This window comes from Homo sapiens, chromosome 10 (assembly GCF_000001405.40).
Source record: "Homo sapiens chromosome 10, GRCh38.p14 Primary Assembly".
In the NCBI taxonomy this organism is placed as follows: Eukaryota; Metazoa; Chordata; class Mammalia; order Primates; family Hominidae; genus Homo; species Homo sapiens.
The window spans coordinates 17,661,752-17,685,461 of NC_000010.11; the positions used below are offsets into that span (position 1 = coordinate 17,661,752).

Consider the following 23,710-nt stretch of genomic DNA (forward strand, 5'->3'; position numbering starts at 1 on the left):
TTTTAAAGTCTCCTTAATCAAGTTTTTGAGCATAGCCAAATGGTGCAGAGGCAGTTTTCTTCAGGGGCTGTATACCCTCCACTCTAGCTTTTTTTGGCCCATAATGTCCTCCCACTATGACGTTCCCAAAGAATCTCCCAAATGTGGTCCCATCCATCCCTTTGTTGTATTTACATTTTAGTATATTCTGACCTGGTTCATTAATTTAATTGAAAATTTTTAACTACTGTGTGTTACATATCGCGTTCCCTTTTCTCCATTTTTATTTGTCCTACTTTACTTTGGACGTTCCTTACCTTGCCTAGGCTAGCGAATTAACCCACTGGCATTTTTTTTCTGTTTCCATCTCTTTTCTAATTCTTATATCCAGTTGCCGTATAACAGCTGTGTTCATGTTACTCCCCTACCTTCCATACTGAGTTCAGTTTAAGCTCCTTAGTCTTCTGAATCATGCATTTTCATTTTTTTCCCTCCTGTATAACATTCATTTCAGCTCAACTATCTGAGTTCCAGTGCTTTTTTTCTACCTTAGTTTGATGCTTTTGGTCCTTTTGTTTCTTGAGGATGGAATGTTTTCCTCTTTAATTTCCCATCTCTGTGTCTCATATCCTTTCAGACCCAATGTAGATACCACTTCTTCCACAAAGCCTTTCCTTATCCCCTTTACTGACAATGGTATGATCCTCTGAATCCTCAAAGCACTCTATCAAAACTATTCTTATTTGTGTTTTTTCCTGCATTTTAGTAACTTATATCTAATGAACTGAAGTTTCTTAGATATAAACCTAGTAGATTTGTAGAATGAATGGTCCATGAACTTCTGTTGCACATGGGAAAGAAGCAAATAGCTTAGTGGTGGAGATCATGTACTCTAGAGGGAGAATGCCTGGGTTCAAATCTTGGCTCTAGCCATTTAGCTATGTCATACTGGGTAAGTAACTTATCTTTCTGGGCCTTACTTTTCCAGTTTACCACCTAAGAATAATAATAGTATCATCTTCATAGGGGAGTTGTTGTGACTTTGAGATTAGCTTTATCAAGTGTTTATAACAGTACCTGGCACATGGCTGAATGAGTGCAACTCTGCCTGCTTTTGATTGAAGTCATATTTTGTGACAGTTTCTGTTGAAGACTGGGCACCAAGCTAGACCACTTCATGTGCATTTTGGAGATAAAAGTTTTATCTAGCATTGCAGCTGCAAAGCCCCTCCTCTCTCTCTTCACTTTGTTGGTTTCCTTTTTATCTTTACTTCGGTGTTTTTCATTTTGTAGACGCTTTCTGTAATAATTGGGTCAATTGCTTGAAGTTGTTTGTCAAAAGGCAAACCCCCTTTTACAACTATAAATATTCCATGTTTTTCCAGTTAAAAAATCAATTTGTAATGCATCTGAAATTCTGTATGTTGTAGCACAAAGCTGTAGAGATCAATTTGTTTTTCTTAATGTTAACGTTATTCTCCCAGAAATGTTTATTATTATTTTCCCTATTTTATTTCCTTTCATATTTGAAATTTACTAATTTATAGCTTTAAAAATATTTTTTGTCTTTTTGTTTTTATCCAGTATCAATAGGTTTAGACACATGCTCATTTTTTTTAGTTTTTCATATTTATTTTTAAACTACATACTTTCTCTCAGTATATTCCTTAATATTTGAATTGTCAGTTGGGGATTTTAATTGACATTATACTAAGTCTATGAGTTTACTTAGGAAATATTTTCAACTTCAGTGAATTCGATAATGAAGGTGGATCTGTTTGTTCTTTTAGTCAGTGTTTTTTCCTTTTCTTCTTCCTTCCCTCCTTTTTCTTCTTTTTTCTTCCCACTTACTCACTTAGTTTTGACTCCTTTAATAGTTATTGCTCTCTGGTTCTTTTAAATCCCCATTAAGTTAATCTTCAAGCATTTATTGTGTGCATAAATGGGATATCTTGTTATACCTCTTGTTAATAAAGAGTTGTTTGAAAAGGATTAAACAATAATTGAGATACCATTCTAATATTATTGAGGTTTTAAAAAAATGTCAGGCCTTCAATAATTGCTCATGTATGTATTTTCTTTCAATAATACTGTTTAACATACATCTCCAGTTGTGTTTTTTCTTTCTTGTTCTCCCTTGATAATCTCATATTAGGAAATGGTAAACATAAGGGTCATATTAGGACATTCCTGGGCCCTAGGCACTTTTGTCTTCTTGGGCTCCTCTTTCTATTAAAAAAATTAAAAATATTTTATGACTACATTGTTTTAAGGAAAAATATATTAGTATTATATATTAAAACATTTTCTTTGAAGCAAAAGTTCACTTTTTTCTTCTTGTTTTAAAAGAAATAAAACATTTACGTGTACTTCCAAAATTATTGTGAGTCCTAGGCCCTGTGCCTACATGCATAAGCGTTTACAGAATTGGGTTACATATTCACAGATCAACTTAGTAATAGAAAATTTTAGGTTTCTTTCAGGTGAGCACTAAACTGTGGGATACTTATGGTGGCATTCCTAATATGTTATTTGTTTTTATTTTTGTGGTAAATTATATATACAATAAAATTAACTATTTTAAAGTGTTCACTTTAGTAGGATTAAGTATACTCACATGCCCGCTGTCTGTCTCCAGAACTTATCCATCATCCCAAACTGAAACCCTGTGCCCATTAAACAATAACTCATCCCCCTTTCCTCCAGCTCCTCTTAAACATTTGTAGTTTGCCTTTAATATTTTAAATTATTTTATAATTAGTATATATGGACAACTTATAGAAATCTGGTTTATGTTTTGGAGGAAACTGTGATTGGATATGGGTTGCTGATGGTCGCATAAGAATGTTGAACAGTATTGTAGGCTGCCATTGAGGTATTCTAAATACCTGATGTGCTTTAGAGAAGACTATAACATGTAAGTGGGTTGAGAGGGAAAAGAGGACATGAGTTTTCCAAAGACAAATTCAGGTAGAGTCTTTTGAAGTAGAGGAATGTTGTAGATTGGAATGCAGTTCAGAAGTGATTTGTGTTTCAGGCAACAATCTAGATTTAGAAAAAAAATTATTATTGCTATTTGGTGTTAGCCTGAAATTTTGTAAAGTGCGGCGATCTTTTTAAGAGGACAGATTCAGAGATGGTGGAAGGACTTTAGGAGGAGCATTTCACTTTCAGTAATATTGTATTTTTTAAATCAAAATGATTTGTAACTAGTAATATATAGTAGAATCATTTAGAGGATAAATAAAATGAAATAATTCATATTATTTTAACCTTTTTTTCTCTTTTGGCTTCTTTTTTTAAAGTCATCTGTCTTAGAATTATGGTAGTTTGAAAAATATTCTTAGGTTTTAAAGGGGGAGAAAAGAGCTATTATTGTGAAGTTTCATTTAGTCAGAACTGTGACCAGGAAACATGGCTCTCAGTGGTGTTGTGAAAAATTTTTCTTAATTCCTTCTCTTAAAAAGGAAAAAACCAGACAAACCCATTTTCTGTTCTTTAAACTCACATATACATATGCATATGCATATATATTTATGTTTGTTGATTATATAAAGTATTTATTTCTTTTAAAAATAAGTATGTATTCACATGGCTCAAATGTTAAAACAATTTAAAAAGATGGACATTGACAAGTCTAATTCCTATCCCTGTTTCGCTGCTCTCATCTTCTATAAGTTACCACTTACGTAAATTTTGTATCTTTCCATTCTTTTACACAAATGTGAATACATTTTCCCCCCATTTACATGTAATAAGAATGTTGTATATATTCTTCTGCATTTATTACTTAATTACTTATCGTTACTTATTGACTACTTATTGTATCCTGTCAGTCTTAGAAATGTATTTCTTTTAAGTCTATTAGTATTGGACAAATTTGGAAATTATTTTCTAGTTTAACATTAATTTTGGTTAGTGGCATGTAGAATATCTAACACATATACATAATTACTGAATGAAAATTAGTAATTTTTAGTAATTATCTCAATTTCAGAAAGCCTACTAGATGTAATCCCTGTTTACTTCATTTAAGTTGTAGTTTCTTTTTAAATCTTGAAATACTTGATTATACCAAACCTAAAACTTTAACAAACATTCTGAAATTTTTTTCTAACGTCTCAAGATATTCACATGATTTCTACTGCGCAATTTCCAGTGTGTGAGTAACTAGTGAAGAATGCCCAGCCAATTAGGTCATATGATGGGCTGAACAGCCTTCATTTGTTTAGAAATCAAGAGAACTTTCACAATGATAATAGCCGTTTTCTTTAACATGTCTTCACATAAATAATTTTTCTATGTTAGTGTTGATTGATTTGTTTATATTTATGTAAACATAGACGTGAGGATAAATACTGATTATCTTCAATAACAAGTTAAAATTAAAGTTCTGTAATTGACCTCTAGATTAAGTTTTGCTGTTATTTTATATGTTAACTGTCTTTGCTTAGCTTTAGCCAAAGATATAGTTGACTAAAGGTGGAAAACATCATGTAACTTTTTCTTTACCCGACTAATGGATATGTTTTGGTACTAAATTTATTCTAACAGAATGAGAAAGATCATATGATAGTCATTATTGGTGTTTTGTGAAAAATACAAATGTAAGCCTTTGGGAAGGAGTTTGTTAAAAATGTTTTTCCTTGGCTTTGTATTTTTTTTTTTTTTTTTTTTTTTTTGAGACAGAGTCTTGCTTTGTTGCTCAGGCTGGAGTGCAGTGGCACGATCTTGGCTCACTGCAAGCTCCGCCTGCCGGGTTCACCCCATTCTCCCGCCTCAGCCTCCTGAGTAGCTGGGACTACAGGCACCCGCCACCATGCCCAGCTAATTTTTTTTTGTATTTTTAGTAGAGACGGGGTTTCACCGTGTTAGCCAGGATGGTCTCGATATCCTGACCTTGTGATCTGCCCGCCTTGGCCTCCCAAAGCGCTGGGATTACAGGCATGAGCCACCCTGCCTGGCCTTTGGCTTTGTATTGTTTTGTCCTGGACTGGACTGTGACTATTTCCGGCCTTCAGTAGGAAGTTGAAAGAATATTTCCTGATTTTTGTAAGGGAAAAATAATCTCTGAGCTGGATATTCTAGAGTTGAAAGGACAGCATCAGTAGAGAAACAGACCTCTTTCAAGTCTTTTTTTCTTCCTATAATCATATCCTCATTTTACAGGACTTTATCATCAAAGTCTTTTAAATGCTCTTTTAAGAATAATCGTCACTTATTGACTACTTATTGTTTGCTAGACTCTGTTACAGTGCCCTATGAACATTTTGTTTGATTATCACAGCAGTTCTAGGTACTGTAGATTCTCTCAACTTTCAAGTGAGAAATCTAATTGATATTTAGGATTCTTTTATATAACTTAAAATAGCGGAAGTGTTCCAGCAGAGTTAAATAATTTTTTTTTTTTTTTGAGACAGAGTTTCACTTTTGTTGCCCAGGCTGGAGTGCGATGGTGCGATCTCAGCTCACTGCAACTTCTGCCTCCCAAGTTCAAGCGATTCTCCTGTCTCAGTCTCCTAAGTAGCTGGGATTACAGGTGAACGCCACCATGCCCGGCTATTTTGTATTTTTAGTAGACATGGGGTTTCAACGTATTGGTCAGGTGGCCTTGAACCCCTCACCTTGTGATCTGCCCTCCTCAGCCTCCCAAAGTGCTGGTATTACAGGCGTGAGCCACCGCATCCAGCCCATAGAATTTTTTTTTTAAAACGTGATCTTGATTTCCATGTTTCACTCAGTTTCGTAACATGGCAGAATTTCTTTAATTCGTTTCATTCTCTTTGCGTTCGTCATTTTTTCTTTTATTTGTCAAATACTGAATGCCAAATATCATGCTTTGGCTATACAGTGGTGAATAAAGCAGGCATAGCCTTTGCCGTCAATGGTGCTAATATTCTAATGGTGGAAGATGTGAAATAAACAGATACTAACAGATGATGGTCAATAGCTAAGAAGCTAGTAACCAGAGTGCTATAATGGAAAATAAAAAGGTAGACTGGTATGAGGGGGTTACGTTTATGCTATAATTTTAATGTTGAAAAGAGACAGAGTTCAAAGCACTGCATCCCAGAAAGAAGCAATAGTCTGTAGGTGAATGCTGAATGCTACAAGGTAGAGAAAACTTGATGCCTTCTAAGAACTTGAAAGTTACAGAGTAGCTGGAGCAGAAGTCAGTTGCCCTGAATGAGCGCAGAGCTGGGTTTCAGAGTGAGTTAGAAAAATAGAAGATGATGGTTGGAAGGTAGGATCCTTTAAATTAAAACTATAGAGGGTTTTCAGTTATTGGTAATGACAAGGTCTGATGACTCCAAGGTCCATCGGAGTTAATAAGATGTGATAGAAGTTGAAAAGCCAAAGTGTTGAAAGCATCACTTACACTGTTATTAAAAGCTCCAAGAATTAGGACAGGAGTGATGTTGGAGAGAGAGGCAGTGATCCAGTAGCTAAAATAATTGACAGGTGAAGGGGCATTTGAGATTTTTAAATAAACTGCAACATGAGGGGACTGACGTGATTGGAGCTGGGCAGTTTTAGGAAAGAGGGAGAGTGGTTTGGAAGAGGCAAGGGAAATGAATGCACATTGCTTAGCATAATGCATATTGAACAGATAGTACAGAGGTCAACTCCGACACAATTTCCCCAATTATTCACATATTTCATTAGTGTATATATTTGTTACAAGATATGAACCAATATTGATACATTACTATTAACTAAAGTCCATAGTTTGCATTAAGGTACACTTTGTTTTGTACAGGTCAATGGGTTTTGACAGTGTATATAATGACATGTGTCTACCATTGTGTAATGCCACGTATCTGTCATTACAGTACCATGCTGAATAGTTTTATCACCTTAAAATGACCTGTGCTCCATCTGTTCATTCCTTTCCTTCCTCTCTTTGCACTTTAAACAGCCACTGATCTTTTTACTGTTTACAAGTTTATCTTTTCCAAATGTTGTGTAATTGGGATCGTAGACTATATAGCCTTTTCAGACTGGCATCTTTCACTTACCAGTATGCATTTAAGGTTCCTACGTGCCTTTTCGTGGCTCAGTAGTTCATTTCTTCTTATTGCTGAATACTCTTCCATTATATGGATGTTCTACAGTTTGTTTATTAACCTACTGAAGGACATCTTGTTGGCTCCCAGTTTTGGTGATTTTTAATAAAGCTGCTATAAACATGAATTTGCAGCCTTTTGTGTTGACATCGTTTTAAGTTCAGTTGGGTAAATATGTGAGAACATGATTGCTAGATCATATGGTAAGACTGTTTATCTTTGTTAGAAGCCACCAGACTGTCCCCACAGTCTCAGTATGGTTTTGTTTTTTACATTCAAGTCTTTGATCTATTTGGAATTTATCCTGTTAGGCAGTATGAAGTATGGTTCTAACTTTATTCTTTTCTATTTGGCTACCAAATATCCCAACACCATTTACTGAATCGTCCATCTTTTTTTCTTCTGATTTGAAATATTTCTTTTATATATTATATTTGCATATGTATTTAAGTCTGTTTTTCTCTTTTGACCCGTTGGTATGTGTCTAAACACATTCTGCTACCACATGGTTTTAATTATTAATATGTTTTGACATTTGGTAGGATATGGTCTTGAGGTTTTTTTTTTTTTTTCCGGAAATGTTGTTTTAGATATTCTTTCCCCTTCCTACTCTCATTAAATAAACTTTCAAATTGAGTTGGCTGGGTTAAAAACAAAACTTTCTGTTTAAATTGGCCTAGTTTTAAATTAACAAATTTATGTCTTTATGATATTAAATCTTCCTATCCGAGAACATAGCATCTCTTTTTGTTTATAACCTTTAGTAGTGTTTTTAAGTTTTCCTCTTAAAAGTCTTGTACATTTTTTGTAATGTTTCGTCTGAGGTATTTTGTCCTTTTTGCTGCTGTTTCAGTGGGGTTTTTCTTTCACTGATTGGGAATTTCCCTTCTTTTTCTTTCTTTCTTTTTTTTTTTTTCTGAGATGGAGTCTCGCTCTGTCACCCAGGCTGTAGTGCAGTGGCGCAATCTCAGCTCACCGCAAATGCCGCCTCCCAGGTTCACACCGTTCTCCTGCCTCAGCCTCCCCAGTAGCTGGGACTACAGGCACCCGCCCCTATGCCCTATGCCCGGCCAATTCTTTTCTTTTCTTTTTTTTTTTTTTTTTTTGTATTTTTAGTAGACACGTGGTTTCACCATGTTAGCCAGGATGGTCTCGATCTCCTGACTTCGTGATCCGCCCATCTCGGCCTCCCAAAGTGCTGGGATCACAGGCGTGAGCCACTGCGCCCAGCTGGGAATTTCCCTTCTTAAAGGGTAGACGGGATTATAGCATCTGTGTATCTGGAAGAGAATGATGCACTTTGAGGGGGAAATTGAGATGATGATTCAGGAGAGAATTGGGATAACAACAGAAGTCAAGTTGTTGACTAGGCAATAGGGAATGGGATCCGATGCGAGCTGATTTTTCTATCTTTACTTGCCTAGACAATGATTTTACTTTTTTATTTTACTAAGTCTTAAAAACATCGTATATTTTATAGAATGAGACTTATAGAATTCTGATGACTGTTGTGCTTGTTTTGCAGATGAGAAAACTAAAGCCCTGAGATTTTTAATGTGACTTGTCTAAAACGAGTGAGCAGAGGCAAAATTAGAAGTCAGATTTCTTTACTTCCCATTTTATGTTTTTTTCTACCTTCACTGTGCTGTGTGCTTAGGTGCTTGTATGAGCAGTTATATTTGAAGGTTAAAATTATGAATCAAGACATACCAATCTTACATTAAAGTTTTTGGTGATTCCTCTCTCCCCATACGTTATGTTACATTGTGTTTTGTTTGACTGAAATATACCTTAGTGTTACATGGTCTAGAAAACTCAAAATATCATCGTACTGAATTTAATCCTCAATATTTTAGTTCAGCATGTAGAAGTTTAGTTTATCTGCTTTTCTAATGAAGTCCTTTGGGACTTACATGAACATGTTTGTTAAATAATAGTCAAATAACATCACTGTATATATTTATATTCACGTTCCATTATCTCATAAGAAATGCCTACTTAATAAGCTTAACATTAAGGGAATAATTTGATATTTGTACTCTATATTTTGCTCCTTTTATATGTTGTGTGGATTATGTTTTATGTAATGTATGTTACAAATCAAATTTGCATTTTGAATATGTTCAGTATATAAAGATTGCATTATTTCTGTTGTGATTTCTTTTGTACTTTTATATTAGAATTCTCTTACAGTCTGTGACATGCCTTCATGCTTATGAAAGGCATCTAAATAAGGCTCTACTCAGTATTCAAGGAGCATTCATATTATCTCTTAATTTCTAAAAATATTTAGTTCATTCAGCAAAGATTTGAGTTCCCATGTCTTTTAGCTGCTGTGTGTCTGCTAGGTCCTGGTATACTAAGACCTATAAAAGCTATGCATGCACATACTCCTCCTTCCTCCAATATAGACGTACATATGTCCTTGAATGGTAAACCACAGTAAAGCTTTTTTTGTAGCATTTTAGATGAAGATGTAATGTTTAAATCACTCTAAAATAACTTTGAAAGCTACAGTTGTAAAAGCAAAGATAAAAAATGAAACATTTTTGTGCTTTCAAGAACTAACATTGTTGAGAGTCTCTAAATCCCTGGCATGAGTCTAGGAGTTTTGTATTAACATTCTGATAAGGAGGTATTAGACATCTCCTCTTTTACAGATGAGGTCTGTCAAAGCTTCAAATCGTTTTTCTACTGTATCACAATGCTTCTTTTGTTTAGTAATGGTTTTCAGCCTGGGTGGTATTGCTCCATTAGGGATGGTTTCAGGTGTCCCATGACAGGCGGGTTACTACTGATGTTACTGATGTAGTAACTAGCAGGGATCAGGGATGCAACATGCCAGATAGTCTTTCACTAGTGTCCTTGTACGTTTTTAGTCTGACATAGGTTATTAGAGGTTAACCATGCAAACATATTTGTTAACCATGTTTTTTATTATTGCTATTGATAATTTTTGTTTTGATCATTTTTCTTTTATATTTGCAATACTTTTAGGCAAATACCCTGTTATTTTGTTATGTCCTGAGAGAGGGATAATGAAGAGGTGATATCCTCATTTTGAAAAGTTGATTGGTCTAAAAATCATTTATTAATTTAGTAATATATACAGGAATTAGAATTTAAATTTACTGTCTTTTCAATGACAATAATTTCCTTTAGAGTATACAATCTTCCTGTCACTGCTCGGCATATGGTTTTTATGATACTAAAAAGTACTTTTCAACTGAGATATAGAGCTATTTGAAATAGGAGAATTTTCAAAAGTTTTATACAGCATAGGATGTCACAAATCTTGACTCCTTTTTCCAACAATAGCTTTAAATATTCTTGGCTTCCTCCTATATAGCAATGGAAATACCTTTTCAGATAATCTCACTAACTGGTGACCGCGCCTAACATTGAGCTATAGATCTCTCATAACTGTACAACAGTATACCTATAAGTAGATAGACATTTGTAAATAATATAGTGACATTGTTGAAAACTTACTGTGGGCCATTCAAAGACATTTGAAATTTCACTTTTCTTGGAAAAGAGAATTGCAAGAATGCAAAATTGCTTTTAGTTTTCCTTGATCCTCTGACTGTAGAATTGAGCTGTATCATATACATGTTTAACCTACTGAATTTAACTGTATTCTTTTCCAGCCTCCTCAGATTTTTTCCCAAAAAACTTGTGCCTGCCAATTCATTTAGTGAGCTTGTATGTGCTGTCTCACAATTACAATTCCCACTTTTCTCATAGCATCAATACCTTGCTGTGCTGAGGGCCATTCTTGCTCGGAGCATGCATATTTTATCTAACATAGTCCTGTATGCAAGCCAGCTTCTTCAGCTGTTGCTCAAAGTAACAGTTTTGCTTTAATAATTGAGGAAAAGTTGGCTGTATTGGACACATTTGAGAGACGGTTCATGAGTTCTCCAATAGTTAAATCCCTAATCAAAGAAAATGGAGTAACTGCAGTTTTGGCCTTTATACCTTGACTTTGGAAACTGACCTTAAGAATGTTGTTCTTCTGTGACATCTTACAGCAGTGTGATTTGTGTTATGGTCATTTATCAAATGATAAGTAGGTATTTTTAGGTGGAAAACTGGGAAAAGTGAGAGATAATTCTCCTTTCCCTGTTCTTTGTCCCTGCCCCTGACCCCTATCTTTTTCTTTTCCCATCTCAAGATAAGGAAAAGAGAGGATGTGTCTTACAAAAAGTTTTAAAATACCAAAATGGGGTTTTAAGAAGCTTTTTGAGAGAGATGAGGATTTGCCCACCCTTTAAACAGGTAGGTGATGGAAACCTTTGGTAGACTCTTCTAAGTGCACGTGCAGATTTTCTCTTACCATGTATTTTTACAAAATATTTTGTGTTTATTGCCACCCGTCTCTTCTCACATCCTCTGTTCCTCCCAGCACTACTTATTGTGCGTTTTCCCCCTCATGGCTTTATTATAGTTCTATTAACTACATTTTATGAAAGGATGTATGTTTTCCACTTAGCGAACTCAGTGGAAGATACACAGAACTTGGTAATAAATAGAACTTTATAAGGAAGATGACTTATTCTAAATATTAGTTGTACAATAGTGAAAAGCAGTATTTTTCGTGTTTTGCTCAGTGACTTTTTTTTGAGCATCAGCCACGTTGAAGGCACAATTCTAGGCCCCATTCGCAATGACAGTGTTTTAACTTCAGTCACGGGAGAGCAACAGCAGTTGCTAAATAATTCTTATTTTCATTTTCTCAAATTTCAGTTGACAGTTTATTATGTGCCAGAGGGCATGGTTAAGGAGTGGCATGCCAAGGATGAGCTGTGTAACCCTGGGCCCTGCCTTCAGCAGCCCTCATGATGGGGAGATAAGTAGTTAAGGAGAAAAACCCCGCAAACCAACCCAACAGAAGAGAGGTGTTAAATGCTAAAGCTTTATCATGTGATGGTGAAGAGCACAGACTCTGGAGTCAGATTGTCTGCTTGTGAGGTTCTCAGCACAGCATCTAACACAAAGCAGGCACTCCCTAAGCGTTAACTATTAGTGTTACAACTATTATCTGACAGATTTAGTTCAATATTTGAGTTTGCAGGAGGAATACCTAACATTCCAGGCACAGCTTGATGTGGGGAGCTGTCAAGGGCCTAAGTTCCTCAGTTTAAGAGATGTGTAAGCTCTGATCTGTAGGATGAGTAAGCGTTGACTAAGAACAGCAGGGCGGGAGAGTCCTTGGAGGGACTGGAGGTCCAAGAGAGCAGGGTTTTGAGAAGTGATCCAGGGATGAGATTCATGGCTGGCTTTTGTAAGCCTGACCTGATTTAGTCTTTATAAACTTGAAGTGAATTTATTTAAATATGTATTATGTTTAAGTTATGTTTTAAACAGAGATTAAAAGAAGACCCAAACAATTCTAAATAATATGACTTAGTACTGTTCAAACCTACCAGCCGTCAGCTTCCTTTGTTAGAGGCTGTTCTAGTTATCTCTTACTACACAACTCTTAGTAGTAACTGTCCTAACACTTAGCTTAAAAGAGCAGTTTATTATATCTCAAAGTTATGTGGGTTAACAGCTGGGCAGTTCTTGCGTGGGGTCTGTCATGAAGTTGTAGTCACATAGTGCCTGGGACTAGGGTCATCTGAAGGCTTCACTGGGATGGATGCTTAGTATGGTGAGCAGTGATGGTCGACCATCACCTGGGACCTCACCTGGCTATCAGGTGAAACTCTTACCCAAGGCCTCTGCTTGTGGCTTGAGCTTCTCACAGAATGGTGGTGGGTTCCCAGAGGGAGCATCCTAAGAGCTAGTGCTCCAGGAGACCCAAATGTACTCCACATGGCTTCTTGTAAGTTATGTGTCTCAGAATGTCACTTCCACTATATTTTATTGGTCAAGCAAGTCACTGAAGTCAGTCCAGGTTCAAGGGGAGGGTTGTTAGATGTCACCTCTTGAAGGGAAATGGTAAGTTCATGTCAAAGGAATTATTATCATAGTTATCTTTGGAATACATAATTTGCCTGAGGCCTGTTAGTTCCATAAGTGTTGAATCAGAACTTTGAACTTAACAAAACAATGAAAAATACCATTAGGAAAAAATAATTCTAATAAACAAAATTATAAATTCCACTTTTGATACTTGAGACACTCAATCCTTAAGAATGGAATGACAAAATGTGATACAAGGGTTTCTTCATTTTTAAATCTAACATTTAATTATGACTTTTGACATGGAAAAAATTGTTCTGTGTTGAAAGATGTACCCATTTGTGTGTATTTATAAATATGAACAGCTGACAGATAGGGAATCTTAACTGATTAGGTAGTCATGAAGATTTTCTTTCATGGTGCCTTTTCATCGCTTGGTTTTAGACACATGGCCTGATACAGCTTTTAGTTTATGAACATTCATAAAAGCCTAATTAAAGATAATAGCATTTTTTGGCTGGGCACGTGGCTTACGCCTGTAATTCCAGCCCTTTGGGAGGCCAAGGTGGGTGGATCACCTGAGGTCAGGAGTTTGAGACCAGCCTGGCCAATGTGGTGAAACCCTGTCTCCACTAAAAATAAAAAAATCAGCTGAGTATGGTAGTGCCTGCCTGTTATCTCAGCTACTTGGAAGGCTGAGGTGGGAGAATTGCTTGAACCCGGGAAGTGGAGGTTGCAGTGAACTGAGATCGCACCACTGCATTCCAGGCTGGGAGACAGAGTGAGACTCTGTCTCAAAAAAAAAAAAAAGATAGTAGCGTTTTCTGAAATTGATGGTTTTAAACATGATATTGTAGTTTATATAAAGTTTGGACAACTATGTTTATGTCACAGTTTTAACTTATACAGGGATTCACTTAAGTTTTAGAAAAAAACACTAGGCTAGACTATGAACTTCATGAAGCAGGGTCAGTCTCTTCTTGTTCACTACTTTATTCCTAAAGCCTTGCATAATGCTTGTCACCTAGAAGGTAATTAATGAACGTTAGTTATGGAAAGTATTATTAACAGAGTTCTTTGGTACCTATTGAATTTTTTTTTAACAGTGACTCTCTAATTTTTATGGCGGTGATTCACCCTGAAAGTCTTGCTTACCTAATTAGATTAATCCAAAGGGCCGGTATCCTTTTGCACTGATACCTACAAATAGCACTCCATGTGGTGGAATCAGATTATCTGAGTACTTCCAACACGATGAATGGGCAAAAATGAGAAGTTTTCTTAATTTACCATTAGATCAGAGAAGTGACTGCTGATAGAATTCATTAAAAAAAAAATCTGTCCTTTGCACATTTGCCCTAAGAGCTTCAAGTTCTGCAGAGTTTGTGTTTTGTTTGGGAAATTAGAAAGGTCTATTGCAAAAGAAAGCACAGTAGCACAGTTTGGATATTTGTGTGTGAAGATTGATTGATTAAGGAAGGTTCACGACTTAATTTTCATTTACTTCCAGGCATGAGCTGACTTATTTTTAATAGTTATGACTTCACCTAGAAACTGAATGGTTGAGAGTGGTATAATGGGGCAGGAGTGGGTATAGGGAGGATGTGATAGAGAGGAGCTCCATCTTAAATCTCCTTTCTTTGAATCTGACAGTGCAGTTTGTTGAGATAGGAGTAATACTGGTAAATAATGAAATTGAATTTGATGCTTTCAGTTCATCAGCTGACATATGTAGGCAGTTATGTACATTCCTGCAAAGTCTGTTCTTTGTCTGGTCTGTGATTTGAGAAAAAGACATTGGAAGCTGCAACGGTATAGAAATACTGCCCCCTTTTCTTTTACCCTCTTACGAACTATATGACCCAGATCTATTCATAAAAAGATGATTTTGTGGATGAACATAGTTTTGGCTGTTGTGACCATAACATCCAATTTGCCTTGGACAATTGTAGTTTATGCCTGCTGTTCCTCTGTTATGTCCAGTTAACACCATCTTTCACTCGCGAAAGGGTACTGCCATAGAGAATGAATTATATAGACACCATGCTTGTAATCAACTTTCATTTGTCATTGGAAGGATAATAGCCAGAAGTATACTCACGTTAAATTCACTTATAATCCCCAAACCTTTTTAAAAAGTAGTGTTTTAACCATACTTTTAATTACTTGGTAAGATTTAATAATTATACATATATATATATATAAAAGTTCAGTATTACCTATCTGGTGGAAATACTAAAAACTGAATTAAAAATGCATAGGACAGAATGAAACAGTTCATAATAGTGGTTAAGTTCTGTTTTGTAGACAGTTCTGAAGGGATTTTTAAGCTAGTATGTAAAAAGATACTGCTGTGTTTGCACAAACAAGGTGTTCATCAGCGCTTCATTCTTACTGGCTTTGCAGCTCTGTCCTTTTAATGGTTCAGTAGCCAATTTTATTTTGGTGCCAGAGATATCTTTGCTTTGGTTTTTACAATTGGCTGTGGTAAAACAACATAGGAATGTCTAAAATAAAAAGGAATAGTTTCATTTCAACACCCCTTTCCCCACCATCCTTTCCAAAAGTCACAGTTTAGGTTTCCTACCTTAAAAAAAAGTGGTTTATAAACAAAATACATAATCAATTTTATTTAACATTTGGTAAAGAAAGTATACAGGATTATTTTCTAAAATATTGAGCTGAATCATCTTTAGATTATTTTTTACTGATTTTAATTTTAGTATTCAAATAATTCTTTATATCTGGCCTTTACCATGCATTGAAATGATTGTTTTGTGTTTTTATGTCGGCATGGTATTCACAACTGCAAGTCAGTATGGGGTCACGGACCCTGGCTCCTAAAATAAGTCCAACTGTGAAAAAGGCAAAATCTAAATAATAGTGTTAAAGTACATAATTTCTTCAGTCTAATGATGCTGCTATCCAAAAATTTTAATCTCTTACAAAATCAGTAAAGTAGAAGAAAAAAGTTTTAGGATTAAAAAAATTGAATGCTTGGCACATAATAGACATTCAGTCAATATTAGTTCTTTTGTGTGTTGTTTCTCCCTTCACCATGCTCTTTAGGTGGAAGCAGCCTCACAGGCAGTTGAGCATCCTTAAAATCAGGAATCCTACCTTGTATCCTAATTTTTCTATATAATTATTAAAAAGGATTTTTTTGTATTTATTACAGTGCTAACTAATTATACTTAAGCATATTGCTTTGCTTTCCAGGGCTCATTGGAGTTCAAATTGCCCGATAAAAGTTTTTACTTTTATAAATACATATATATTTCACATACCATCAAATTTACCATTTTAGAATATACAATTCAGTGGGTTTTAATATGTTCATAAGTTTGTGCAACAGTATCTAATTCCTGAACAATCATCATCCCAAAAAGAAAGCTGTACTCATTAGCAGTCACTCCCATTCCCACCTCTCCTCATTCCTGGAAACCACTAATCTACTTTCTATCTGTGTGGATTTGCCTGTTGTAGACATTTCATATAAATGGAGCTCTGCAATACATGTTCTTTTGTGATCAACTTTCTTCATGTGGTGTAATTTTTTTTTTGGAAGACAGAGTCTCGCTGTGTTGCCCAGGCTAGAATGCAGCGGCACAATCTCAGTTCACTGTAACCTGCACCTCCCAGGTTCAAGCGATTCTCCTGCCTCAGCCTCCTGGGTAGCTTGGATGGGGTACATGCCACTGTGCCTGGCTAAGTTTTTGTATTTGTAGTAGAGATGAGGTTTCACCATGTTGGCCAGGCTGGTCTCGAACTCCTGATCTCAGGTGATCCGCCTGCCTCGGCCTCCCAAAGTGCTGGGATTATAGGCGTGAGTCACCACGCCCAACCTCATGTAGTGTAATTCTTCTGAGGTTCGTTTATGTTGTAGCTTGTATTAGTACTTATTTTATTTTGGTAAAATATATTTAACATAAAGTTTACTATTTAAATCATTTTTAAGTGTATAATTCAGTGGTATTTAGTACATTCACAGTATTATGCAACCAACACCACTATCCATTTTCAGAACTTTTTCATCATCCCACGTAGAAACTCTACACCTTTGAAATAATGGCTGTCCATTTCCCCTCCTAGCCACTAGTTACTTTTTTCTATGTTCTATCTTTATGAATTTGTCTATTCTAGATACCTCATGGAAGTGGAAACATAGAATTTTTTGTGCTTTTGTGTCAGACTTATTTCACTTAGCATAATGTTTTCAAGGTCCATCCATGTTGTATATAGCATGTGTCAGAATTTCCTTAAGGCTGAATACTATTCCATTGTATATCACATTTTGTTTATCCATTCTTTCGTTGATGGACATTTGGCTGTTGTGAATACTATTAATACTACTCTGAACATGGGTGTACGGATATTGGTTAGAGTCCCAGCTGGATTATATGTGGTTATGCTTAATTTTTTGAGGAACTACCACACTTTTCACAGTAGCTACACCATTTTACATTCCCACCGGCAATGTACAAGGGTTCTAATTTCACTACATCCCCTCCAATATTTGGTATCTTTCCTTTCTTAAAAAAATAGCCAGCCTAGTGAGTGTGAAGTGGCATCTCAATGTGGTTTTGATTTGCATCTCCCTAATTGCTAGCGATGTTGAGCATTTGTTATGTGCTTATTGGCCCTTTGTGTATCTTACTTGGAGAAATGTCTATTCAAGTCCTTTGCCCATTTTTGAATTGGGTTGTTGTTCGTTGTTGAGATGTAGGAGTTCTTTATATATTCTGGCTGTTAATCTCTTGTCATATATATGATTTGGAAATATTTTCTCCCATTCTGTGGGTTGACTTTTCTTTATTGATGGTATCCCTTAATGCACAAAAACTTTTAATTTTGATGTTTAATTTGCGTGTGTTTTTTTTTTTTAAATGAAGTGTTGATGTTAATTTTTAAACATTTGGTAGAATTCACCAGTGAAGCTTTCTGTTTCTGAGATTTTCTTCGTGGGAAGTTTTCTTAATCAGTAATTTAGTCTTTTTACTTGTTACATAGGTCTATTCAGATTTTCTGTTTCTTCTTAAGTCAGTTTCTTTTCTTTTTTCTTTTTTTCTTTCAACAGCTAAGCATATCATAGAGTTAGTTTCGGTAGTTTCCTGTCTTTGTAGGAATTTGTCCATTTTAACTAGGTTATCCAATTTGTTGGCATAAAGTTGTTCATAGGGTCTTTTAAAATCCTTTTTATTTCAGTGAGGTTGAGAGTAATGTTCCCTCTTTGTTTTTTGATTCTAATAAATTGAGTCACCTTTCTTTCTTGGCCAGTCTAACCAAAGGTTTTTCAGTTTTGTTGATCCTTTAAAAAAAAACTTGTGTTCATTGGCTTTTCTTGATTGTGTTTCTGTTGTCTGTTTTATTTATTGCCTCTCTTTATTGTTTCCCTCCTTCTCCTTTGCTTGCTTTGGGTTTCCTTGCTCTTTTTCCTCGTTTCTTAAGGTATAATCTTAGGTTATTGATTTGAGATCTTTTTCCCCAATTCTTTAGATTGTAGCAAAATAAACATAGCATAAAATTTACCATCTTAATGGTATTAAATACCTGCATAATGTTGTGAACTCTAGTCCCCATCTACCTCCAGAACTCTTTAAAACTGAAACTGTATACCCATTAAACAATTAAACAATAACTCCCCATTCGCTGCTCCCCAGGCCCCCTGGCAACCACCATTCTACTTTCTGTCTATGATTTTGACTACTCTTTTTTTTTTTTTTTCTTTTTTTGGAGATATGGTCTTACTCTGTCACCCAGGCTGGAGTTCAGTGGCGCAATCGTGGCTCACTGCAGCAAGTGATCCTTCCACCTCAGCCTCTCGAATAGCTGGGACTACAAGTGTGTGCCATCATGCCTAGATAATTTTAAAAATTTCTTGTAGAGACAGGGTCCCACTATATTGCCCAGGCTGGTCTCACACTCCTTGGCTGGAGCAATCCTTCCACCTTCATCTCCCAAAGTGCTGGAATTATAGGTGCAAGTCACTGTGCCCGGCCTTGATTTTGACTACTCTTAGTACCTCATCTAAGGGGCATCATACAGCATTTGTCCTGTTGTGACCAGCTTATTTCACTTAGCGTAATGGCTTTAAAGTTCATCCCTGTTATAGCGTATTCCATGTATGTATGTACCACATTTTGCTTATCCATTTATGCGTCTGTGGACACTTGGGTTGCTTCTGCCTTTTAGCTATTGTGAATAATGCTGCTATGAACACGGGTATACCACTATCTCCTCCAGACCCTGCCTGCTTTCAGTCCTTTGGGGTATATACCTGGAAGTGGAATTGCTGGAGCATATGGTAATTCTATTTTTAATTATTCGAGGAACCAGTATACTGTTTTACACAGCACCTGTAGCGTTTTACATTCCCACCAACAGTGCACAAGTGTTTCAATTTCTCCACATCTTTGTCAACACTTACCATTTTTTCTGTTTTTCTTTATAGTAGCCATCCTGATGGGTGTGAGGTGGTATTGAGATCGTCTTTTTTTTTTTTTTTTTTAATGTAGGTGCTTATAGGTATAAATTACCTTCTCACCGTTTTACTACACCCTTAAGTTTTCTTGGGTTATGTTTTCCTTTTCATTAATCTCAAAGTATTTTCTAATTTCCCCTGTGATTTTTTTCATTGACCCATTGGCTATTTAGGAGGATGTTGATTTTCACGTATTTTAATTTTCTATATTTCTTTGTTCTTTCAGATTTTATTCTGTCTTTGGAGAACATGCTTTCTATGATTTTTTATCTTTTTAAATCTGTAGAGACTTGTTTTATGGCTTAACATTGTTTATCATGTGTAATATCCATATGCCCTTGAGAATAATATATTGTATTATTTCTAGTTCAAATAATTTATAGATGTTGATAATGTATTGTGTTATTAGAGGAAAATATATGTCATTTTAATCTGATGATTTAATATTTTGAGGCTATCCTTTTGACTTATATAAAGAGCTCCCTGTTTATGTTATCTGAATTTATTGGGAGGCATATCTGTGTCCAGAACATAGCATGTTTAAGTGACAGGTATGAATCTTGTTAGTGCCTATTACTGCCTGGTAACTGGCATCATGGGCAAGGAACTGAACTTCAGTAAATGGAGGACTTGGTTTGCTGTGAATGTTTTGAACACTGAATGAGTCCTTTGCTTATTATATAATTTTTGAGAGCCTAAGCACATGATGTTTCGTAGGTTATATGAATGATTACTCTGCTTTACTATTATCATTAATTACCATAAAGCATCCCCATGAAATGCATGTTTGCTACATTCTTGGCCTGTCATTTAAATAGATCTGTTTTTACTGACCTGTGATTTATCTACAACAAAGAGCATCCCTTGTATGTGTATGGTTTGATAGTTTGATGAGTTTTGACAAATATATATACCTATATAAGTATCACCCCAACCAAGATAGCATTTAATCACTCCCAAAAGTTCCTTCCACCTTATGCAAGTACTAATATGCATTGTCACTATAGATTAAATTTCCTTTTCTAGAATTTCATAAAATGAAATAGTATTGTCAGTACTCCTGTGTCTAGCACTAAATGTGTTTCTAAGATGAATTCAAATTTTTGTATGTATCAATATTCCTGTTTCTTGGGGAAGAGGTATTACATTGTGTTAATATATTACAATTTATCCATTCATCTGTTGATGGGCATTTGGATTGTATCCAGGTTTTGACTCTGAACAGAGCCTCTGTGAACATTCTTATAAAGAGTACTGGGTAGTATGCTTTCATTTTCATGTCCTTAAGGGAAATTATGGTTCTGTGATTTCATTTGTTGTAAGCCTTAGATATTTGTTATTTGATTTCCAAATATTTGGGTATTTTTATGCTATCATTTTGTTATCAATTTGTAGTTTAATTTTGTTATGGTCAAAGAATGTACTTTGTATGACTTTAGTCCTTTTAAATTTATCAGTGTTTGTTTTATAGGACAGAATGTAGTCCATTTTGTTGAATTTTCCATGCACATGAAAAAAAATGTGTATAATGCCATGGGTGGGTGGATTGTTGTGTAATGCCAGTCAGGTCAAGTTTCATGATAGTGTCATTCAGGTATTCCATATCAGTACTTTTTTTTCTTGTGTTATCAAGTCATTGAGGGGGCATGTTGAAGTTTCCAGTAGATTTGTCTGTGTTTCCTTTCGGCTGTATCGATGTTTCCTTTATATATTTTGAAGTTCTATTTTTGTGTTCATGCACATTTAGAATTATGTTTCCTTGGGGGACTTAACCGTTTTATTATTATGTACTGTCTCTCTTTATCCCTGTTAGTATTCCTTGTTATGAAAACTGCTAACGGTAGTGAATAGATAAAAGTGTAGTTGGATTACAATCTTAATCTGCCATTTTTCTAGATGATTGGTTATGTTTCTTCTGTTTTCTCTTTCTGTCTTTTGTGTATCAATCAAATGGTTTTTATGGTTTTATTTTTTTGATTTAAAACTTTGTTTTGAGACAGGGTCTCACTCTGTCTCTCAGGATGGAGTACGGTGGTGCCATCACAGCTCACTGCATCCTCGACCTCTGGGGCTCAAGTGAACCTCCCACCTCAGGCCATTCACTGCGCCCATAGGAGCTGGGACCATTTCTGGCTAATTTTTGTATTATTTTTTGTAGAGATAGGGTTTCACAGTGTTGCCCAGGCTGGTCCCAAACTTCCGGACTCAAGCCATCTGCCCACCTCGGCCTCCCAAAATGCTGGAATTATAGGTGTGAGCTGCTGCACCCAAGCTATTTTATTTTCATTTTTCTCTTAAAAATATTTGTAGTGGTGGCTCTGTGTTAAATTTTTTCATTTTTTTTCTCTCTGTACTTCAGTTTGGGTACTTTCAGCATATTTTCAAATTTACTGATCTTTCATTCTTACCTGATTAATTCCATCCACTTTTTAATTTTACATATTTTTTTGTCTCTAGACTTTTATCTGGGCCCTTTTTAATATATTTCTTCATCATTATGTGGATGATTTCCAGCATGCTTATAATAGCTTATATAAAGTCCTTGACTGCTAATTTCATCATCTTTGTTATTTCTGCATTCTCAGTTGACTGAATTTTCTGCTAGTTGTGTATGGTAGTTTTCTTCTTCATATCATGTCTTCATATCATTTTATTGAATGCTTAGTACTTTGAATTTTATATTTTTGAGCATCAGGTGTTGTATTCCTGTTAAGGAGTATTGGACTTTATTTTTTCAGAAGTGGTTACATTCGTCTGTGGCTTATGTTGTTAGGCAGTATGTAGGTATGATTGAGCTGCATTGCTAGGGTCTAAACTCCCCTGTATATCCACTGAATCCTCTGGATTTTCAATAGATGCTTCACTGTGGCCTCATCTCTGACGACTGTGTGAGCGTTGGATCTCTTTAGCATATCGCCCTCGGTCACTTTTTGACCAGTTTCATGGAGTTTTTCACCTGTGCATGCGTGGGTTTTTCAGAAGGTCTTCACTGATACTTGGAAAGTGCCTCTAGGCAGAAAGTTGAGGCAAACTTCTGGCTTATCTAATTCATTTTCCTTCTTGGATATTATCATTCAGTACTGCCTGTGGCCTCATGTCTTTAAAAAGTTAACCTCAGTGTGGAAAATCTGTTTTTCCAGTTTTCTAATTGTTTACAACGGGAGTGTAAGTCTGGTCTGTTTTTCCACCCTGGCTGGAAGTGGAAGTCATGGCCTACCATTTTATTTTCAAACCTTTTTTTTTTTCCTACCCAGAATTAGCCTGAAATGCCTCATCTACGATTACTAATAAGAGAGCCTGTTAATTTTGTTTGAAAAATTTAAAGGAACTAGTTTACAGTTTTTCAACCGTGTTATTAATAAAAATTAAATTTCCCTACTTTATCATAGTCTCCCTTTTTATCGTAGTCTTTTGTCTATAACAGTTAAGGGGCAGGGGGAAGCTAGATGTATTATTAAGTAATTTTTACTTTTCTCATTTTTTTAGACCTAAGGATTGTCTTCGGTCTATTATGAGAAGAGTGAACCACAAAGATCCTCACGTTGCTATGCAGGCTTTGACTGTGAGTGGTTTCATTTTAATCTGTACCACGAAATTACCTGCCACAATTGAGCCCCTTTAACTTCTGATTTTGTGCTTTTAGCTTCTAGGAGCATGTGTATCAAACTGTGGCAAAATTTTTCATTTAGAAGTATGTTCAAGAGATTTTGCTAGTGAAGTAAGCAACGTATTAAATAAGGTAAGGAGCATTATTTCCAGAAATTAATTAAGGCAGTCTTCTTTCTTCACATATTTTATTGTTTAAATCTTCACAGAGGACTATTCTGTGCTTTTTAAGAAATCCTTTCTAGGCTGTGTCTATCCAGTATATAAATAAATATTATGTTTTGTTGAAGAGACTGCGGATTCATGTAACTTTGAGTTAGTTTTTTCAAGCCATATTAGAGTGTTTTTAACCTGTTCTTTTCCATCATACTTTCATCTGATAAGAAAACAGGTATTTCTATATCTAATTAAATAATATCAGTCTATTTTACATACTGTTTTTGTAGGCACAAGGTATTTTCCTAATGGAAAACCTTTCAGAAACACTGCAAAAAGTCTATGGCACCGTTGAGTTTTTATCTTTATCAATAAGGCTGCTTCCTGGCCATCACAGGATTTTAATACTATACTGCTATTCTTACTGGCTGAACCCACAGCTGGAGTTGCCTCAAAAGTGGTGGCGGGGGAGTTTCCACAAGGGACTGCCCCAAACTGTTCCAGATAGGGC

The 23,710-nt window shown here is 35.6% G+C and overlaps 1 protein-coding gene across 10 annotated transcripts in view, besides 2 other annotated features; it reads left to right on the forward strand.

The window, feature by feature from the left end:
* The window catches only part of STAM (signal transducing adaptor molecule), a 72,674-nt gene that overhangs the window by 17,601 nt on the left and 31,363 nt on the right, over positions 1–23,710 (forward strand). For 5 of the 10 annotated variants that reach the window (NM_001324288.2, NM_003473.4, NM_001324289.2 and 2 more), the window contains 2 exons: positions 22,924–22,999; positions 23,081–23,176. The exons of 2 other annotated variants lie outside the window; for them this stretch is intronic. Coding sequence is in view for 6 of the 8 variants with exons in the window: in NM_003473.4 (NP_003464.1) it covers positions 22,924–22,999; positions 23,081–23,176 (172 nt within the window). In the remaining 2 variants the exon portion in view is untranslated. Of the gene's footprint in view, positions 1–11,223; positions 11,328–19,148; positions 19,261–22,923; positions 23,000–23,080; positions 23,177–23,710 lie in introns of all 10 variants that reach the window. 3 more of the 10 variants (NM_001324284.2, NM_001324285.2, NM_001324282.2) reach the window with 3 other exon arrangements.
* Positions 9,338–10,092: an enhancer, noted in NCBI's record as "OCT4-NANOG hESC enhancer chr10:17713088-17713842 (GRCh37/hg19 assembly coordinates)". NCBI's record gives its function as "activates a minimal SCP1, AML or CMV promoter by ChIP-STARR-seq in naive H9 embryonic stem cells {active_cell/tissue: H9 hESC(naive)}" and the evidence as "EXISTENCE:reporter gene assay evidence [ECO:0000049][PMID:30033119]".
* Positions 11,932–12,468: an enhancer, noted in NCBI's record as "OCT4-NANOG-H3K27ac hESC enhancer chr10:17715682-17716218 (GRCh37/hg19 assembly coordinates)". NCBI's record gives its function as "activates a minimal SCP1, AML or CMV promoter by ChIP-STARR-seq in naive and primed H9 embryonic stem cells {active_cell/tissue: H9 hESC(naive and primed)}" and the evidence as "EXISTENCE:reporter gene assay evidence [ECO:0000049][PMID:30033119]".